This window comes from Homo sapiens, chromosome 1, assembly GCF_000001405.40.
Source record: "Homo sapiens chromosome 1, GRCh38.p14 Primary Assembly".
NCBI classification, from domain to species: Eukaryota; Metazoa; Chordata; class Mammalia; order Primates; family Hominidae; genus Homo; species Homo sapiens.
In genome coordinates, this window is record NC_000001.11 from 59127600 (window position 1) to 59148496 (window position 20897).

The 20897-nt window shown below is 43.8% G+C and overlaps 1 long non-coding RNA gene across 1 annotated transcript, besides 4 other annotated features; it reads right to left on the bottom strand.

Moving 5' to 3' along the window:
* Positions 1 to 4336: 4336 nt before the first annotated feature.
* On the bottom strand, positions 4337 to 19208 carry HSD52 (uncharacterized LOC729467). Its single transcript, NR_027120.1, has 3 exons — positions 19077 to 19208; positions 5632 to 5731; positions 4337 to 5147 (listed from the first exon to the last, which is right to left on the bottom strand). It is a non-coding gene; the product is annotated as an uncharacterized LOC729467 (long non-coding RNA).
* Positions 11678 to 12179: an enhancer, noted in NCBI's record as "H3K27ac hESC enhancer chr1:59604949-59605450 (GRCh37/hg19 assembly coordinates)". NCBI's record gives its function as "activates a minimal SCP1, AML or CMV promoter by ChIP-STARR-seq in primed H9 embryonic stem cells {active_cell/tissue: H9 hESC(primed)}" and the evidence as "EXISTENCE:reporter gene assay evidence [ECO:0000049][PMID:30033119]".
* Positions 12180 to 12679: an enhancer, noted in NCBI's record as "H3K27ac hESC enhancer chr1:59605451-59605950 (GRCh37/hg19 assembly coordinates)". NCBI's record gives its function as "activates a minimal SCP1, AML or CMV promoter by ChIP-STARR-seq in primed H9 embryonic stem cells {active_cell/tissue: H9 hESC(primed)}" and the evidence as "EXISTENCE:reporter gene assay evidence [ECO:0000049][PMID:30033119]".
* Positions 19037 to 19096: an enhancer, noted in NCBI's record as "active region_1107". NCBI's record gives its function as "activates an Ori minimal core promoter by ATAC-STARR-seq in GM12878 lymphoblastoid cells {active_cell/tissue: GM12878}" and the evidence as "EXISTENCE:reporter gene assay evidence [ECO:0000049][PMID:35858748]".
* Positions 19217 to 19366: a silencer, noted in NCBI's record as "silent region_939". NCBI's record gives its function as "represses an Ori minimal core promoter by ATAC-STARR-seq in GM12878 lymphoblastoid cells {active_cell/tissue: GM12878}" and the evidence as "EXISTENCE:reporter gene assay evidence [ECO:0000049][PMID:35858748]".

Here is a 20897-nt window from a genome sequence, read left to right on the forward strand (position 1 = left end):
CAGTTTCTTTATCTTGCAGGTCATAGTGCCCTCTAAAATTTTTCATACATGTTTGTTAAGCAGGAAGGCTCATTTGCAGAGGTTGCTTTAAAACCTTCTGTCTCAAAAAAGGACAATCCCATTTGTTTTATACTTGTTTGCCAGGCACTGTGCTATGGATTTTACATGTTATCTCATTTAAACTGATGCTGATCTGCAGGTGGAGAGGGCTGTGTGTCCAACTTTGGAGGTGAGCAAGGCAGAGAACAGAGAAGAGTGCTGTGTAGTGTCGGTGGGGATGGTTGGGCATGTTAATGCTGTTTTATGTGTAGGGTGCAGGGAATTAAATTCTCACAGTTCAGAGAAAGGTCCCTGCCTTGATCAAAATGGCTGCTATTCATTGAGTATGTATGATGAGTCAAAGCCTTAATTACTCCATCAGCCAGAAATATGGTGAGCTGCAAATCACTTCAACTACCTACAGTCCACTTGTCTCAAGCCGTGAGGAGTCCAAGAAAAGCAGTCCAACAATACCACCAAAGACCCACTCATCGTTTTTCTAAGACAGCTGTTGCATCTCCAGGTCTCTTTTCCCTATTCCAAGAAGGAAGAAAAGGAGAAGAAAGGCTTTTACCAAAAAGGTTTAGCTTTCTTATTCAGGACCAGAAACCCTTCCCTGAGACTTATGCTTACATTTCATTGGCCAGAACAATGTCATGTGGCCACCCCCAGGTGCTAGGGAGACTGGAAAATTGAATGTTTTAATAGGGTGTATGTGCTGCCTCCTCCACCCTAAATTAGGCATGAGTCACTGAGGAAGAAGGGGGATATGGGTAGCAAGTAGGCAACATATATAATCTCATTCCATGCTTCCAACAGTTCTGTGAAGTAAAGTTATCTACATTCTACAGATAGGAATATGAATGCAGAGAGGAAAGTAAATTGCCCAAAGTCACCCAAATAGTGAGTCATGGAATAGAGATTTTAAAACAGGCCTATATCATTCCAACTGAAAGGATTATTTTATGATATCATCCTGTCTCCCTTAGCTGTGTGAACTTGAAGAATTTACCAAACCTCCCTGAGCCTCAATTTAAGATCCGTAAAATTAGAATAATCATCCCTGACTCAAAGCTTCCTGAAGCATCAAGTTACATGCAAAGGGTTGGAAAGGATAATATCAATGGGACCCCAATTATTATTGATTTACCATTTGCCAAAATGTCTCATCTAAAGTTGACAAGCAATGAAGGTTCTCTGAACACAGCATGAACGTTGGTATTTGGGGTTGGCACCAGTAAAATCTCTTCACTGGCATTTCCTATTTGGGCCTCATTATGGATTCCCAGGAATTTCCACTGGCTGGATTTCCTTTGTCCACCTCAATAGCTGCATATGCAGATGAGTTATGAGCCACATTCCACAGCAGGTCAGATGAAAACAATGTGCAAACTATCCATTGTAGCTTTCTTGCCTTCTTTCCCCATGGCTGCTCCCCAACTAGAGCTAAATCCAGGCTGTTCCTTAGACTGTGCTTCTGGTGCCCCCTCCCAAGATGGAATAAACTGTCTGAACACCAAGGAAGTCATCCTGCTGCAGACGCACCACAGCTCACATGGTTTCGTGCCTCTCGGATTGGGCTCTTGTGTGTCTCTGCCTGGAAGGCTTTGCCGTCATTGTTCTCCCAGTCAAGGCCCAGGCAAAATCTTAGGTATCCCATTTCAGTGACACCTTTCCCCACTCTTCCTGGTGGGATTTTGTTGTTGTTACATTTTTTTCTCTATTACCAAAGGGCTTTGTCCATACTTGTGTTACACATAGCACTGTCATCACATCAAGAGTCTGGCTTTGCTTTTACTGAACACCAGGATTTTGAAAAAGAACAAATAAAGTAATAGTGATAACCCCAAAAAATGTGATGCTGTGGTATGAATGTTTGTGCCCCTAGCCCCCAAAATCATATGGTGAAATCTTGACCTTCAAAATATTAGTATTGGTATTGGTATTAGTATTGGTATTAGGAGGTGGGGACTTTGAAAGATGATTAGGTCATGAGTGTGGAGCCCTCATGATTAGAATTAGTGTCCTTATGAAAGAAACTGAAGAGAGCTCCTTTGTCCCTTCCACCATGTGAGGATACAGTTAGGAGGTGAGATCAATGAGGAAGCATGCCCTTGCCAGACACCAAATCTGCTGGCATTTGATCTTGGACTTCCCAGCCTTCAGAACCATGAGAAATAAATGTTTATTGTTTACAAACTACCTAGTTTATGGTATTTTTGTCATAGCAGCCCGAACACACTAAAACATTCATGTACATTATAATAGAAGAAAGCAAGGATGAGATGGGAATCAAAAATATAAATGAAAAAAATTATATTCTCCTTTCCCTTCCCATCTGTATCCCCGACAGCCACTTAGTTATTTCTCTGGTGTGGCACAAGCAAGGACCAATCCAAGCAGGCAAAGAACTAGAGCAGAGTGCTAGAGGCCTCCTGTGCAGCCAAGGTTCATTTTCTTAGGGCTACAGTCTGGTCATCTTTTTGTGTCAATACATACAGACCTATTCTATTTGTTTTCGTTGCTCCCTAACTATTGCATGAATATACCATGAAATTTTTAGGCCATTTTCCTACCTTGGAAGCATCCAGTGTTTCACTGTTACAAATGTTGCTGGAATGAATCTGCTTGAAAATATATTTGTGAGCACACGTGCTGGTATTTCTGAGTGATAGAATCCTAGAAACAAGGTTTGGGTGGAGACTCCAAAGTTGTACTCCCACTTAATAGGACATAAGCATACATGTTTCCCCAAAGCCCCACTGAAATTAGATATTGTTGATTGTATTAACTTTTGTAAACGTTGAAAAACTATCTCATTACTTAGTTTGAATTTCTTTAATGATCAATTCAGTTGAGCTTTGTTCTATATGTTTATAGGGGTTTTATTTTTCTCCTGTGCTGCGACTACTAGCATCAGGATCTTGATTGCAATAATCAGGGAGTTCCCCTCAGTCCTGAGGCCTGACTCCAACAATACCCCATGAAATTTTTCAACACAAGAATATGTGAGAAGAACAAAAGAATTTGTTAAGAATGGCTGAGCCAGCACTCTGGGATTAGAGCCTCAAGAAGTTTTCCTTTGCCGTTTACTGGGCATATCCATGTGTGACAATCACATGTACCATTCACTGAGGTTCTAGTGGCAACTTCTAGACCAAACACTTTAAACATGTATTAAGGGTCTTCCGCTTAGGTAGGGAAGGGAAGGGTCTTACATTTTCTAGTTTGGGGGCTTCTGGGGCTTTGCAGGGTTTTCTGTTATTTTTTTGGTTGTTGTGTACATTGCTGTTGTCTTTGCTTTGTGCCAGTCTGGCAGAGTATCTTCCATGTGAAATGACGTCTAGTTCTGCAACATTCTGATGGGGGATGTCACCTTCTCAATTCAGAGCCTTTTCTATTAAATACGGTCTATTGCCTTTGCATAAGAAGTCAATTTTATTTCATTTCAAATTCAAGGAGCACCTACTCTGTGCTAAACTTTGGGAATACAAAATTAGATTACACTAAGTCCCTATTTCAGGAAAGCCTCCAGTCTGGTGGAGCTGAAAGGGAAATATCATGGTCATATAATCAAGATGGAGTGATGCTTGGGATTCTCTGGGAAGATAGGACCAATTCCCTGCTTTCCAGTTGCTGTGATCTGAGTGTTTATGTTCTCCCCAAATCCATATGTTGAAATCCTGACCCCCAAGGTGATGGCATTAAGAGGTGGGGCATTTGGGAGGTGATTGTGTCCTGAGAGCACAGCCCTTGTGAATAGGATTAGTCCCTTATAAAAGAAATCTGGAAAGATTTCTCACTTCTTCCATTCTTGTGAGTTTACAGTGAGAAGATACCCATCAATGAGAAAGCCTTTACCAGACACCAAATCTACAGGCACCTTAATCTTGCACTTCCCAACCTACAGAACTATGAAAAAAAAAAGTTTGTTGTTTATAAGCCACCCCATTTATGGTATTTTGTTATAGTAGCCCAAACTGACTAAGATACTAGTGAGCAGGTAATAGAAACTCTATGTGCCTCAGTTTCTTCATTTGTAATACATAGAACATAATAACACAACTGATAAGGTTATTACGAGTACTAAATGAATTATCCAAATAAAGTACCCAGAGCATGTTGTGTAGTAAGTGATCAATGTGTTAGTTTTTAGTGTTATTATCACTGTTTTTCTTAAGTATTATTATTATTATTATTATACTACAAAAAGGGATCTCACTCAATCTAGAGGTTACTGGAGAAGGTGCTGGCAGGGTCAAGTTTTGAAGAGCAGAGAAAGTGGATTTAGCCTTGATTGAGAGATGAAATGTTTTATTTATTATTTTGAGGTGCACAGTGACAACAGGTTGGACATTTAACCTCCATGATCTCATATACAAATGACAATGCTCAGACAGAGAGGTCACATAACTTGTCCAAGGTTACACAACTAGTTAACTGTTGGTGTTAAGACTTGAATGTATAGTATTTTTATTTCCTCTATTTTATAGATAACAGTGAAGTGCAGAGAGGCATTGGGGATCAAAATTTAAATCCATGTTTCTCAAAGTCCTGAATCCATGTTCTTCCCACTACCCTAAGCTTCCCACCTAGTGGAATATATTCATCTTGTTTCTTTCAGATGTTGCAACAAGACATTAGGCTTCTTTACGATTTGGTTTTCTTATTTCTAAATCGCGCCTCTCTACACCTCTCCTCTGTGCAGACTGCCCCTGTTTCAGCCTCCAGGAGAGTCTGTGACAAGGAGTGGGCTCCCTCTGCAAGGTGCTTGGATTCCTCTGAAGAAAGAAAGCAAGGAAACATGAAGTATGGTGATGGTGGCATTTTCAAGGGCGGGTGATGAATGGAAACTTCCTGACATTTCAAGCGACAACATCTGAAAGGAAATGGAATTTTCCTGAAGCACAGGCAGGAGGTCCCCGTCACAAGCTATTGATTTGGTGTGCACATCTTGCATTTAATCTGGTGATTAATTTGGAGGGAGGCTGCATGCATGCTGTGCTTTCATTTAGTGAGTTTAAAAGCCCACAACTTCTGATTTATTTTGCTTCATTCATGAGGAGCTGTTTTATTGCAAAGGGTTGAATGACAGGTTTCCTGGCAGGCTGTAAAGACAGGTAAAATTTAAATAAGGAACATAAAATCTTTGAAGACACTCTATTTATCTTTTGTAACTTATTAATCACACCTATTGAAGGCTGGTTGACCCTCCGGGAATAGTTCAGCAAAGAAAAACTATTGAGCATGTTAAGCTTGCCAATCCCTTGCTTTTCTTTTTCTTCATTTAGAGATGAGAAAACTAAGGACCTAAAATAAGACTTTACTTGCTAAGTCATACCATGAGTTGGAACTGAAATTAACTCCTAGCTCTGCCCTGTGACTTCAAGACCACCAAAATACAAGAAGTATGTGTAGAGCTCGAAATATGTTCCTAAAATATTCAAAGTATTTTAATAATAAATTGAGAATTAACATAAGCACTCTCTAACTAACATCTTATCAATGGCTCCCCATTGCCTGAAGAACAAACTTTAAGAGCCAGCCTCCACTTACTTGGCAAGTTCCATTTCTTTTCCCCCTTGAACTCACCTCCGTCCATATGAAACGACTTTACCTTTTCCCAAGTAGAATATGGTCCTTCTTATTGCTGGGCTGTTGCAAATGCTGTCCACTTGCCTGGATGTTTTTCCTGGAAGGAAGTAAAGAAGGGAGAAAGGGAGGAAGGGAAGAGGGAAGGAAGGACCGAGAACATGGGTTTACAGCTCATTTTATTAGCAGGCATTGCCTCTTTGGGTTGGTGCTCATTCCAGCAATTCAAACTACCTCTGACCCACAAGAATTTTAATTTCTCTACTGTGACTTTATCATTTACCTGAGGTTCTCCCATTGTAATCTTTGGGTATGACATGGCTCCACTTATTCCAAGAAGTTACCATATTTCTCTTGGCTAAAGCTCCCCAACTCCTAAAAACCCAAGAAACTCTCTCTCTTTGATTCCTTAGTAGGTTGGAAAAAATCTCCCCCATCTATAGCACATGGATTCCAAGAAATCAAACCAAAACTATACTGAGAGGTTCTGAAGGGGGAAAATGTAGGTGGGCCTCATTATCTTGAAGGATGGCGCAAACTCAAACAGCAGGCATTTCCAAAAGGGGCTGGGGACACATGCAGAACATGATATAAAAATGTCAGATTATTAAAGAGTAGCTAGAGATAACAGGGTCAGGGTTAAGGGTGAGCATGGAAAACATGTCTTAGACTGTGTGTTGGCATCATGGAAAAGAAAATTCTAAGATAAAGAGTGGAGGAATGGGATATTGGAAGAATTGAAGAACAGGGCACTTTGTTCATTTAATAGCACATTTTATTGAGCACCTACTATGTAACAGGGCCTGCTCTGTGAGCTCAATATGCAGGAGGAAAGAAAATGTGATCAAAAGACAGCTTTTGATGGAATTCAGTCTCATGGAAATCTGGACTTCAACTTCAGTTCTGTCACTCATTACCTTTTTGACCTCACATTGTTTGTTTCAGTTTCCTCATTTGTACAATATGTGTACTCTTTTCTGTGTCTTGATGGCCTGCTATGCTGTTGTGCCAGGAGCCGTGCTAAACCCTGGACACACAACAGTGAACTAGACAGACACAGTACCTGTGCACCCCTACCCTCACCCACCAGAAGCTTATTGAGTAAAGGCAGGGACTGACATGTTACCACAATAAAGCATTTGCTGTGGGAGGATCTAGCAGAGCTGAGATGGCATTTCACATACATGGGCTCTTAGGATTCAATTAGATAAATGATTTTAATGGGCCACCATGATTTCTACAAGAGCACAGGCTCTAGAACCAGACAGCATGAGTTCAAATTCCAACTTTGTTAGTAAATCCCAATTATTTACTAACTATATCATGTAAGGAAGTGTCTAAGTCTCTCTTTTTTCTCATCAGTAATAAGGGGATAATAAGAGTAATTAATTCATGTAGTTGTTAAAAAGATTAAATTAGTTAATATATGTAAAAAGTTTAAAATAATATCTGGCACAAAAGTACACAATTAATAATAATAATTATCTTTATCATTATGATTGACACAGACCCTGGCTCATAGTGGGTGCTCACAATTGCTAGTTCCTGTCCTCTGCTACATGGCTCTTCTTAAAATCCCATAGGCCTAGCAGAACAGTGGCCCATGTTTCATATTTCATCATATGTCAAAGGCCCAAATTGGTAACTACAGAAAGGATTGTTCTCAGTATCACTTATAATTTATTCCTGTCTGAGCAAGTTGCCTTGTTGAGCCTTTGAAGAGCACAAGGGTCTTCCCTGTAGGGTGGACTAGAGACTAAAGTAAGATTGTCAGGGAATTAGAGCCGCAGGAACAAGAGAACCTGGAAAAAAAAACTTGGGTCCCAGATGGATGACAGCTGGCTGTCTTCAAGGAGACCCTTGGAGGAAAAGGCCACATTTTGTCATTCAACCACAAGCATGGTATTTGGAGTCTTATACACTTGGGGTCACTGCTTGACTCCACACTTACAAAGCCATGTAGTCTTCTGGGTCATTTGAGAGTTGGGAAGGATCATGTCTATATCATATGATTGCTAGGAAGGTTATATGGAATGACTAGTTTTTAAATGCCTGGAAGTTAATAGAACTATTGTCCAGCCTTGTCATCAAATAATGATGCTGACATTATCCTTAGCACTGAGTGGTACTTATGGTACTGATGGTCAAACAAACTTCCTCCTCCAATGCTAGTAAGACTAGTATACCCTACAGAAAATAAGGTCTCAGAATTAGGGACCCAAACTCCATGAATACAGGAACTGGTGAGTCTTGTTTCTTGTTGTATCCCCCAGATGATCCTCAGCGTTCAGCAGTAATGCAATAAATGCTTCCTGAATGGATAAACTGTAAGAGGGACAGGCATAAAAACGTAGCATGTCTGGAAAGAGGCCAGCATGGTAATGGGACTCAAAACCACATTGCATAAGGCACATTGGTGGAAGTCGGGCCACACAACTAGCGATGGAAGACTGGGGCATTGAGGTCTTCCGAAAGACGGTTGTATCAGTCAGGGCTTAACCAGCAAAGCAGAATCATAGGAGAGATGGTTGGTTGATTGACTGATTGATTGGCTGATAGATGAATGAAAGGATGAATGATAGATAAATGCATAGATAATTAAATAAAATTAAATAACTTATCATTATTATTGTTTCAAGTATTATTAATTATCCTATGCAATTTGGGAAGCTGACTAAGCCACAGGGAAAACAATCAGGAAGGGAAGACGCACAGGGAAGAGAGAACAATTGCAAGTCCAGCTGCACTTGACACACTCAAAATCAACTGAATAGGAACTTTAATTACATCTGCAAATCCCCTTCACTGCAGCACCTAGATTAGTGTGTGATTGAATCCCTGGGGGATGGTGTGCATATGCTATAAAGTGGTCTCTGCCTCCCATCCAACCTGCAACTCTCATGGAAGACTATCTCTTATGGCCCACCCTAACAAGAAACAGACAAGAGAGGGAATTCTGGGGTGGGTGGCTTGGCCTAGCCAAGCTGATGTTTTTCCTCTATGTTCCAAAACATTGATGCTTTTCCTCTATTTCCCAAAGCCCTCACAGTAGTCATAAGGAAAAGGGAGCAAATTCCTATTCCTCAAAGACAGAATAAGGCTTAATGGGTGGGAATTTTGAGGAAAAGATATAGACCCATTTGAAGAAAGAACTTCATAATAAGTGAGAATAGGTGGCTAGAAGAGGTATGTGAGCAGAACTGAATCCTTGATATTGGCAGAATGGTTGGGATTCTGTAAAGAATCCTCCCATTCCCAAGACTCTGAGCCCACAAATCAGAGACATAGGCTCTAGGGCTGATACCACTATTCACATGCAGGCTCAGTCACCATTGTATGACCCTCTGCGTGCCAGGCATGGTGCTTGGCACCATAAGACCTTAGGCAGGAAGACCAGATGATGCCTGACTCACTGGTTTCAACATCTAATGAATCTTTTCCTAGGGATTGAGAAGGTGCTGCCCACATTCTTAAAATTACATCTCAGCAAAGGCACGACAGTTAAAATCATGTATGCCAATCTGAGGCAGCACCAAATTGGTGGGTCACGTGGCCTAGGGAAAGAGCTTAGCCTGCACCTCTTGGGCAAACACACAGGCAGCTTGATTGCATGTGTCAGTCTGCAGTGAAGCAAGACTTCTAAATTCTGTGTGAGGATATTGATTCTCTCCAAATTTCAAAAATAGTTTCTACGCCCCTTTCACCACTCAATACGTTTGCACCTGCTGTCATTTCCTCTTCCTAAACTGCTCTTCTAGCCTGTTCTAGGTATCTACTGCCGTGTAACAAGGCACCCCAAAATGTAGTGGTTTAAAACAAACAAACAAAAAAAGCCATGTATTTTGTTCAAAAATCCGTGGTTCAGGCAGGCTGAGAGGGAACAGCTGACACTCAGTGTCAGCTGCGGTGGCTCAAGGGCTGGGGGCTGGAATTATCCACCATCTCCATCTATTGCTATGATTTCTCCATGTGGCAGCTACAGGGTTGCTGGACTCCTCACATGTTGGCTCAGGGTTCCAGAGGGGTATATCCTGAGAGAGAAAGAGCCAAGCAGAGGCCTTATGGCCTTTTGGTGACCCAGCCTCAGAAGTCTCATGCATCATTTCTGCTGCACTGTCTGGGTGGAAGAAGTCACACGCCCCCACCCAGATTCAGAAGGGAACACAGACCCCCCCACTTCTCTGTGGGAAGCATGCCAGTCCCATTGTAAGAGCATGTGGGATGGGAGATATATCTTGGTGAGTCCATCTTCGGAAAGTACAATCTGCACCTACTCTTTTTCTATCTGAGAAACACTTCTTATATTTCAAGACCTAACTCAAATATCCCTTCTTTAAAAAAAAGCATCCCTAGCTCTCCCGGAGCAAGATACCTCCTCCCTGCAGCCCTATAAGCACTTTGTATGTCTGCTTTCAAAGTACTTTGTACCCTAAAATGGCATTCTTTGTCACTTTCTGGAGACTGTGAACCATGAGCTCTTCAAGGTGTGTGGTGGTATTTCTATATCCCAGGCTTTCAGCATTGGGATAATGCTTACTTAGGAAATAGTTGTTACTGCAGGCTAAGGTTTCTCGTACACCCTGGACTATCTACATCAGAATGCCTGAGTGCTTGCTCAAAACGCAGACTCCTGGGCCCACATCCCTCTAGGTTAGACCCAGGTGAGACTCAGTGCCCTATGTCTCCCTTAAATGGGTCAGTCCCCTGGAGGAGGTGGCAGAGGCCATAGAAGGGAGAGAATCCTGGTGGTTGCAAAGTTGGTACATTATTTCACCCTCTACCAGCAGGCTCCTTCACCATCCCCACCTCCTCCTTGGCTCTCCCCACCCCCTCCTTGGCTCCCCCAACCCCCACGCATCCTGTCACATCCCAGATCAGAACCATTCTGGAAGCAGTATTTGCTAGTTTGACATTTCAAAATAGCATCATGGAAGCTAAAGATAGCTAGGTTACAAGGGAGGTTAAACATCTTGCCAAATGACACTGAGCAAATTAGGTCTTCTCCATGTTGATCCAGAGAGTACACTGATGTTTTTCCTCTATTTGGAGGAGTAGAAGCATTGGACGAAGAGGAGAAAAGAGATTGAACCAAGAGCCAAAGCGCAGAACCTGTCTCAATTCAGCGGACAGTAAAGGAGTGCATGTATTTCAAAGTCTCAGTTACCAGACTCTGCTTTCTCTAGTTGTCTGAGACAGAAAGCCTGACATAGTAAAACCCTGCTCTCCGGACTATCTATACAGCCCCCGTGTTCTCTTGTGCATCTGGCTTCTGCTCAGACAAACATAGCCAGGAGTTATTTGAGTTGAGGAAGCAGTTTGTGCATCTGAGACAGTTAAGAAAAAAAGTCACTACCCTTTTACTTCCTTTTCTTTTCTTCCTGTCTCACCACATTTCAACTAAATTTTCCAAAGCCACAAACATATGACTGTGGATGTGCAGAGTTGGAGGCCAGAGCCTGGGGTCTATGGAGAGACATGGTGTTCCCCAGAGATCAAGCATTTACGAAGACGTCAGCTTGTATAAATAATAACACGTACCATTTAGGAACTGTTCACCATTTGCCAAGGACTCAGCTAAGCCTTTCACATACTTTACTGCATTTACTATCACAATAATCCTACGAGTTAGGTAGCATTATCCTCCCATTATAGAGGAGGGATTGAGGGTCAGGGAGGTTAAGCAACTTGCTTTGGGTGCCATAGCTAGTAGACTACAGAATTGAGATTCAGCTCAGCATGTCTGACTCCAAAGCCTGCTTTCTTCCCAACCATGTTAGATCATCTTCCTTTAAAAACGTAGACAAGGGGCTGGGCGTGGTGGCTCACACCTGTAATCCCAGCACTTTGAGAGGACAAAGCAGGTGGATCACTTGAGGTCCGGAATTCAAGATCAGCCTGGCCAACATGGTGAAACCCCATCTCTACTAAAAATACAAAAACTAGCCAGGTGTGGTGGTGTGCACCTACAGTCTCAGCTACTCGGGAGGCTGAGGCAGGAGAACCACTTGAACCAGGGAGGCGGAGGTTGCAGTGAGCCGAGATCATGCCACTGCACTCCAGCCTGGGCGACAGAGCGAGACTCTGCCTCAAAAAAAAAAAAAAAAAAGAGAGAGAGAAAAGAAAAAGGTAGACAAGGGATATCCCCACTGCATGCTGTGAATTAAATCCATTCCAGGAATCACACTGGCCTCAGAGAGGGGAAGAGACGCCCCTTGAGATAGACAGGCAAACTCAGGTAGAGCGGAAGGCAGGGAAACTCACTCTCAGTGACTCAGCAGCCCAGCCCACTGTCTGGCCTTTTCCCCATATCACTGATATCTACTGAAAGGGTGATCCCTGCTTGTGTCCTGAAGCCCCAGGGGTAAGTGGCAACCTGAGTCACAAGGGACAGATAGAATGTCAGGGTTGAAGTGACTCTCTGCCTCACCCACTCTGAATGTGACTGCCCCTGCCTATGCAGTGGTGGTGGTGCTGTCACAGCCAGAACATGTTGGCAGAGAGGTGGGCAGGGTGCCTGAGGGGGCAGGGTGCTGGTCATCTGGCTAAAAACAGGGGCTGGGGGTAGGGAAGGCCACTCAGTTATGCCTTCCTTTGGTTCCAAGCTCTATAATATGATTCAGGTGCCTCCCATGGCCCCCTGCCTTCCCAGCAAATTCACTAAGAGCAGAGGGAGGAGGCACTAATGGTTTCCACATTTGGGGCCCTCTGCAGTGAGGCCTTCCAAGCTCTGGGGCAAAGAAATCTAACCTCACCAGCGCTCTGAGTAGATCCCTGTTCTGTGGAGTGCAAACGTGTTCATGGAGTACCTCTTAAAGGTGAGGGTCTTAGGCCTTGTGGGCAAGACCCTGAGAATATGACAAACCAGCAAACAGAGAAGCAGCCTGCCCAGAGCTTACAGCCGGTGGCAGAGACAGAAAACTTACCAGAAAATTACAATATGGGGTGAAGAGGACTGTGCGTGCAGTAACAACAGAGGAAGGCACCTCTTCCTCTGTTAGGGGTTTGCCCAGCATGGTGGCTCACACCTGTAGTCTGTAATCCCAGCACTCTGGAAGCCAAGGCAGGCAGATCACTTGAGGTCATGAGTTCAAGACCAGCCTGGCCAACAGGGTGAAACCCTGTCTTTACTGAAAATACAAAAATTAGCTGGGTGTGGTGGTGCGTGCCTTAATCCCAGCTACTTGGGAAGCTGAGGAAGAAGAATTGCTTGAACCTGGGAGGCGGAGGTTGCAGTGAGCCGAGATCATGCCACTGCACTTTAGCCTGGGCAACAGAGGGAGACTCCCTCTCAAAAAAAAGAAACAAAGCGGGGAGGGCTCAAGGGAAGCATCTCTGTGTTAGTGACTGAGCCCTGCAGGCTGAAAAAGAGTTACGGCAGGGAGGGGTTTGGAGATGCAGGCAACAGGGACAACAGCACATGGAAAGAGCCAGGGAAGGTGGGTGGGTGAGGATGAGGTGGCCAGAGCACAGGGTACAAGGGCACAATGTGTGAAGAGGTGAAAGGAGAGCCAAACAGTCGGAAAAATCTTCAGGTCTTGAAATCCATCAAGGACGGCAATGGAAGAATTATAAGCAGGCCCGAGATAGGAGATCCATTTAGAAATACCAATCTGGCTTCTGAGAACAGCTGGGACATAACAAGATACATGCAGGGAGAGCTGTTAGGAGGCTGAAGCAGTGATTTGGGGCAATAATAGTGGTGTTCTGGAGGAGGGTGGCGGCTGTGGAGATGGACAGGAGCATGAGGGTAAAGGGTGTGATGAGGCCAAATCAACAAATTATATGGTCCTTGCTTTGAAGGAGAAAAAAATTTTAGTTGAAAAAAATCTTTTCTCTCTTAATTCATCCCAGTTTTCTGTGACTAGAAGGACACTTAGAGGTCACTTAGTTCAATTTTCCCCTTGCAAGAAGTCCAGGGATTTTGAATTCCTTCATGCACACAAGGAGTGGGTGAATATTAGGCAGCAGGGGGAATACTCTGGGTGGGCAGCTGAATGGGACACAAGCTTTCTCAAAGTTCCAGAAATTTCCGGACATAGAAGTGTGTATTCTGCTGGCCAGGCCCATGGCTCCAGGCAAAGGGGTGGTTTTGAGGTGACACTTCCTCTGCTGGCTATGATGAAGCACTCTCCTGCCCTCCCCAGGCAGAAACCCCAGCAGGGGTCGGGGGGCACAGAGGCTGGCATGAGGCTGAGGGCTCCTTTCTGCCAACAGACCCAGCCACAAGTGCTTGCTGAGTGACTGCCCTGTACCCAGCCTTGTTCCTGGAAACTGCTGTGATAACACTCTCTGGGTGAGAACCAAGATTCGCTGACCTTTTACATAGGCTGAATCTCCAGGAAAAGGTCATTCTTTTTGGAGGTTGTTGAAAATTTAATGACAGCAATTCCTTAGGCTTGTAAAACCCTTTTAATGTTCTCAAAGCACAGACAACAGCATCTTCTCTTACACTGAGTGGTGTTTTACAGTGTAAAGCACTTACACAGTGACATGCTTGATCCACAGGAAGCCCTGGGAGGGATGCAGAGATCATGGGCCCTAGAGCCCAAGTGACTTCAGTTCAAATCTTTTTTATTCTACGCCTCGAGGCTGTGGGGTGTGGGCCTTGCTTTACCTCTTTGAGTGTCTTCCTCCGTAAGATACATATAATATACAGCCATGTGACAGTTAACAACGAGGATTCATTCTGAGAAATGTGTCCTTAAGGTGACTTTGTCGTTGTGGAAGCATCATCGTGTGTACTTACACAAACCTAGATGGTGTAGCCTACTACACACCTAGGCTACAAATCTATACAGCATGTTACGTTGCTGAATATTATAGGGAATTATAATACAATAATATTCATGCATCTATAAATTAATAGAAAACGTATTATAATCTTATAATCATAAAAATATGGTATTATAATCATGTGGGGCCACCATCATATATGCAGTCAGCCACTAACCAAAACAGTATGTGGCACATGACTGTACCTATTTTGAAACGTTACTGTAAGCATTAAATAAAATGATGCTGCCTGGCCCAGTACTCAATAAAGGCTAGCTTCCTCCAACTTGTTTCCCACCCATTCCCATATTCCAAACAAGGACATATCTAGGGTTGCCACACTAGAAGTTTTACCTGGCACATAGTGGGTCTGAAATAAATGTTAGTTTCCATTTTCCTCCCTTTAAAGCCCTAAACTAAAGCTATTTCTTCCCTGGGTTTTTCCTTACCCGGCCCCTGGTATTTCCTGGAAAACCCCTTTGACAATATCACAGAGCCGTGGAGCCTCTCCTTTGAGAAACGCCCATATATATATAAAGAGGCACCACACACACCCTCTCACCCACACAATTTTGCTTATGATTTTAAGAAGTTCAGATTCCCTGAAGCTTAATTTAGAAGCCTGTGATAGCACCCATATGACACAAAATATCTTCTGCCACAAAGTACAGTTCTTCAGTTATCTGATTTCCGTTTGTAGATTAAAAATTACAAGGAGTTGGAGACCAGCTTTTCTTCTTGTCCAAGTCTGTGTTCTATATGGTGACTGGAGGGTGATAAATACACGGTGAATGTTAATTTAATGCCTGGGTGGACAAATGGATGGATGAATGGAAAGGTGGGTGGGGAGGTGGATGGGTGAGTAGGTAGTTGAAGGGATGGTAGTAGATAGGTGGGTAATTTGGGTGGCGGAATGGATGGGTGGATGGATAACGTAGGTGGATAAGATGGTGAAGGGGTTGCCAAGCTCAGAGAAAGGCCCAGGCAAGCAGTGAGAAGATAAATTAGTGGTCACGGGGGATCTTAACACTCCTGGCAGAAGACGTCTGATATAATCAGTAGAAAGTATGGGATCTGGAGGGTTCAAAGCAGAGAATGAGTGGAGAAAACAATGTCTTAGCAGGTTGGGTCTGAAGCAGGGCTCTTAGCTGGGTGGAACAGGAAGAATCTGAGTCAGAAAGCCAAATAGGAAACAGGGCAGGAGATAGGGGAACTCCTAGCCAAGAAAGCAGTGCTGATGCTGAATGGAAAGCAGAAGCTGCAAGACCTGTTTCTAAGGAAAAGTGGAGAGTGGACAGGATCCAGGGGGTAAGGGAGAGGACTGAATAGAGACACAGGAATTCATGGCATGTGGGATTCTCTGAGTCATAAGTTCAACGATCATTTGTTGAGTTCTTCCTGTGTGTCAGGGGTTGTTTTAGGCACCGAGGATAAGTCCTTGGTGTCAAATAAGAAAGACAGAAACATTAATAAAAGTTGAGATTTACGGAGCATCCGCTATGCATCAGACACTATTCTAAGGGTTTAATGTGTCTCTTCCAAGCAACAATTGTATGAAGGAGGTATCATTATCATCATTGCTTAACAGTTAAGGACACTGAGGCACAGAGATAGTAAGTCACTTCCCCAACACAACTAGTTAAGTATCAGAGCCAGGATTTGAACCCAGTTTCTAGGGCCTATGTGCTTCTTTGCTGTGCTATTCTGCTGCCGTTAAATGAATAATTAAACAATAGTTGTACTGCAGGGTGATGAGAGATATGATGGCAGTCTTTACTGGTTACTGTGGGACACAGAGCGGAGGTGGTAATTGACTTTGGTTGAATGGGTCTAAATGGGTTTTAGGGAGAAGACTCTTTGAAGCTGGATTTTGGAAAATGAGTTTCTTAGGCATCCCGTAAATAAGGAGTGAGGTTTAAAGATGAGGAAATGAGGAGAAGGGCATTCCAAGCAGAGCAACCAGCCTGTGCAAAGTGCACAAGCACCGAGGCATGAAACAGCAGGGACCTAGGCAGGAAACCATTAGTAGTTCTATCAGGCTGTTTTGCAAGGCTAAGAGCTGCCAGGAGGAAAGACATGCTGCCTACTGGGAATAATGCTTAGGAATGTTCCCCTCAGCCTTTATAGAAATATATGGTGTTCAACAGGCTTTTTATCTCTTTTATCATCCTGAATAACCCCAACAAGTAGGAAAGTCAAATATTAAGACTATTCCTATTTTGGGACTAAGAAAACAGCTTGGAGAAGTTAAATGACTGGTCTAAGATTACACCTCCAGTGTGTAGCAGAGGCCAAACTAGATCCTCTGACTCCTAACTTTAATAATCTGGACACACTGGCACACAAAACATTTTGATGAGTGCTGCTAGTACAAAGAAAAATAAGATTGAGTTCTCAGTTTTCTGCTACAAAGGCAATGATGAGGCAGCTCAGATCTGCAAAGGACTGGATATGAAGCCTTGACAGAAAAGTAACCACCAAGATTAATCAACATGAGTGCAGCACTTCACAGCTTGCAAAGCACATTTACATACAGAATCTTAGTTGACATTTATGGAGACACTGTGGCAGATTGTACAAATAATGTTCTTGTTCCCATTTTTCAGATGAACTAGATATACTAATTGATTTGTTTAAGTCACACAGCCTGTAGGTGATAGATTTAAGACTCAAATTCAAGTCTTTCTAATGCCAAATGTATAATACCCATGGGGGCTGTTAATATAATGGCCAATATTTATTGTGTGATTACTATGTGCTAGTTGCTATGTTAAATGCTTACATGCAACATTTCATTTCCCTTCTACAAATATGCCATGAGGTAGATACCTGCTTTAAAATAAAGAAAATTGAAACTCAAAACAGTTAAGTTCCCATAGCTAGGATGACCAGCCAACCACCACTCAAAGCCCCCTGCTTCTAGCACTATGCAATGTTGTCTCCATTGTCTTTAGTCTAGTCCACCCGAACTAAGGAAAAAAATACTTTGAGCTTTTCACAAAACTTGTGTAAAAGCAGGTACATTTGAGGATAAAAAGTTTAACTATTTTATTCAAAACTCTTTATTCCCTTTGTGAATGGTCCAGTGAAAAAGGCCAAGCTTTCCATGTTACCTGCGAGGAAGGCCCAGAGAGGTCATGAGACCTAATCAATAACACACAGCAGCACCAAATTCCTAGTTCAGTGCTCAAAAGTTTAAACCCCAAAAGCCATTCAACTCCTCCTCCCTCCCCTCTGTCTTCTTTATGACCTGGCCTTGTAGGGTAATGGGAATGAGCATGGAAGACAGTCAAGCTGGGATCTGAATCCTGGACATAGAATTTACCAGTTGTAAGCACTTGGACAAGTTGCTCTTTGTGTCTCAGCCTCAGTTTTCATAGCTATAAAATTGTTATATAACATTGTTTTTTTTTTTTCTTTTTTTTTTTTTTTTTGAGACGGAGTCTCGCTGTGTCGCCCAGGCTGGAGTGCAGTGGCGGGATCTCGGCTCACTGCAAGCTCCACCTCCTGGGTTCACGCCATTCTCCTGCCTCAGCCTCCTGAGTAGCTGGGACTACAGGTGCCCGCCACCACGCCTGGCTAATTTTTTGTATTTTTAGTAGAGACGGAGTTTCACCGTGTTAGCCAGGATGGTCTTGATCTCCTGACCTCGTGATCCGCCCATCTCGGCCTCCCAAAGTGCTGAGATTACAGGCGTGAGCCACCACACCCGGCCTATAACATTGTTATATACTATTATTCAACTTGAGGGGGGAATTGAAAAGGTTAAATGAGGTAATGTCCATCATTCTATGTCATTACTTTGTTTTAATTTCTTCCTAGCATTGAACACTACTTATGATTATTTTATTTGTTCATGAGTTTACTGACTTTCTACCTTTGTCTTTCCATAGCTGTTCTCCAAGTGTCTAGAATTGCAGTGATTAGCACAGTGGCCACTAGCCAATGTGGCTATTAAGCATTTGAAATGTTCCTAGCAGGAACTGAGATGTGCTGGAAGTGTAACATACACACAAAGTTTCAAAGACACAGCATTAAAAAAAAAGTAAATGTAAAATATTTTATTGATAATTTTTATATTGATCACATATTGAAATAATATTTAGGGCATATTGGGTTAAATTATTAAAATTACTTTTACCTATGTCTTTTCACTTTCTTTAATGTGGCTGCTAGAAAATTTAAAATGTCGTATGTAGTTAATATTATTGCCATCGACCAGTGCTAGTCATGAACAATGCTGGCACATACTAGGTGCTCAATAAATAGTTGAACGACTGAATATTTTTCTTTGAATGAGTGAGTGGCACAAAAGTGAAAGTATGTGAATAATAGTTTATCTCAAGTAGGCGACCTCCATAGGATAAAGCTGTCTGCTTTAGGTTAATAAACTAATTCTGGTTGAGGTGTTAATAGCTGATAACAGCTTAACTTGTTGGCATGAGTCAAGGTAAGATGTACATTTTAATTGCAACTCTCTAGAAGTCAGATAAAAGTAGGCTTTTTAATTCTACTGTGAGGTCTTCCAGAAGCAAGGTTCCTTTAGATTAAATTAAAAAAAAAAAAAAAAAGAAGAGGAGGGAGGGGACAAATGCTGAGAATGGGGATGGAACAGAGGATGGAGGGAGATGCGGAGAAACTTCAGAGCGGCAGGTGCCTTCGTTTCCCGTTACCTGCTGAGTCTAGTCCCTTCCAGGGCACACAGTGGGCGCTTAGTAACTGTAGAAAGAAGTCGAACGAAATCGGAAGGGGGAGAGGCAGAGGCCACAATCAAGACACGGAAACGACAGTCAGTCGAGGCAGCAGAGAGGGTTTCACGCGGGCCAGCGGAGGCGCAGGGCAGTTGAGAAGGGAACTTGCCACGGGGCGGAGGGGCCGCGCTCCCCACCAGCGCGGCGCGGGGGCGCTAGGCCAGGGACCGCCGGGCCAGGGACCGCCGGCTGCGAGCAGCGGGAACGGACCTGCCCCGGGTCGCAGCGGTTTTTCCCGGGCGGGGCTGAGGCTGCAGGGAGGCGGGCGTTCCGGCGGAGGGTCACGGCCTCGCCGCCGGGACTTTCCTGGGGTGGAGGTGTGAGCACGTAGGAGCCCTGGCCTTTCCAACTTCCCAGGTCAGACTGGGGCTGGGACCACCCTGCGCGGCCTTGGATGCAGGGAACCAACCCAGTGCTAGTCCGCCCTCGCGGGGACCTGTCCTCTCGCCTGACCTATGAAGTCCGTCCCTGCCTCCAAGGCTCCAACAAAGTCCTTCTTTCCCCCAGAGTAGCAGTTCTCAAACTTGAGTGCATCAGCATCACCCAGAGGCTGTATTCAAACACGTTGCTGGCTCCCTCCACGGTTTCTGATTCTGTGGGTTTAGGGTGGTGATGCTGATTCCTCTGGTCAAAGGACCATCCCTGGAGAGCCACTGCCCTTTAGGTAACGATTTTCCCCTCATTTTTCTTCTGAACTCGGTCAGCACCTTGTTCAGCCTCCCACTGAGCCTGGAACCCTTGACAGCTGGGGAAACAAGTGCGTTGCTGCTAAGCCAGGAGGGCACCTAGGAATCCCAGCTTCCAATCCAGGGCGTTTTCCTCTGCATTCACTGCTTCTTTTACTCTCTTGGGAGCCTATGTGTGGGATCCAGAACAGGGCAGAACCCTGAGTAGTAAACGCTGAACGGGAAGCGAGGTTAGTTAAATCCAACTGCAGGAGAGGAAAAAAGAGTCCTTTTCTTCCGGAGAGGAGAGGGTACACAGAGGATGCCTGTCCACTGACCAAACCTGCCCTGAGCATCACCATTGACGCTTTCGTTCATTCAAAAAACAAAGTTAATTCAGCAGGTGCTCTATGCCAGGCACTGACTTGGTATGGGGGATAATGAAGGAAATAAAACCGAGATCCCTGTCTTTGGAGAACATACTTCCTAATAGGGAGATTAACAGTAAACACAATAAAAGGTAAATCAATGAATATGTTAGAAGGTAGTAACAGTTACAAAAAGAAAAACAAGAGTAGGGTAAAGGAGTGCAATTGGAGTTGCAATTCTAAATAAGATGGGCAGGTAGGCCTTATTGATGAGGTGAGTTAAGATATTAAGCCATAGGATAGCTAGGGGAAGAGCGTTTCCAACAGGGGGAACAGCCAGCGCGAAGGTCCCGAGTCAGGAGCATGCCTGATGTGTTTGAGGCTCATCAAACGGGCCATTGTAACTGGAGTAGGGGCAGGGATGGGGAAGAAGCTGAGTAGGAGATGAGGCCAGAGAGGTAAAAGGGCGGGCAGGAAGATGTTAGAGGTCTGGCCCAGCCATTGTTAAAGGATTGACTTTTACCCTCCAATTTGATTTACTGTTTTGCCCTAATGATTCTTGCCTCGTCCATCTACAAAATCTGCCTCAAAAACAGCCGTTAACCATCCCCTGGCTCACAGCTGGAGCTTGTTTTGAGAATGATACTATTTTCATAAGTTGGTGGGCCCCAACCTCTCAGATTTGGGGCTTGCAAAGGTTGCAATGACCC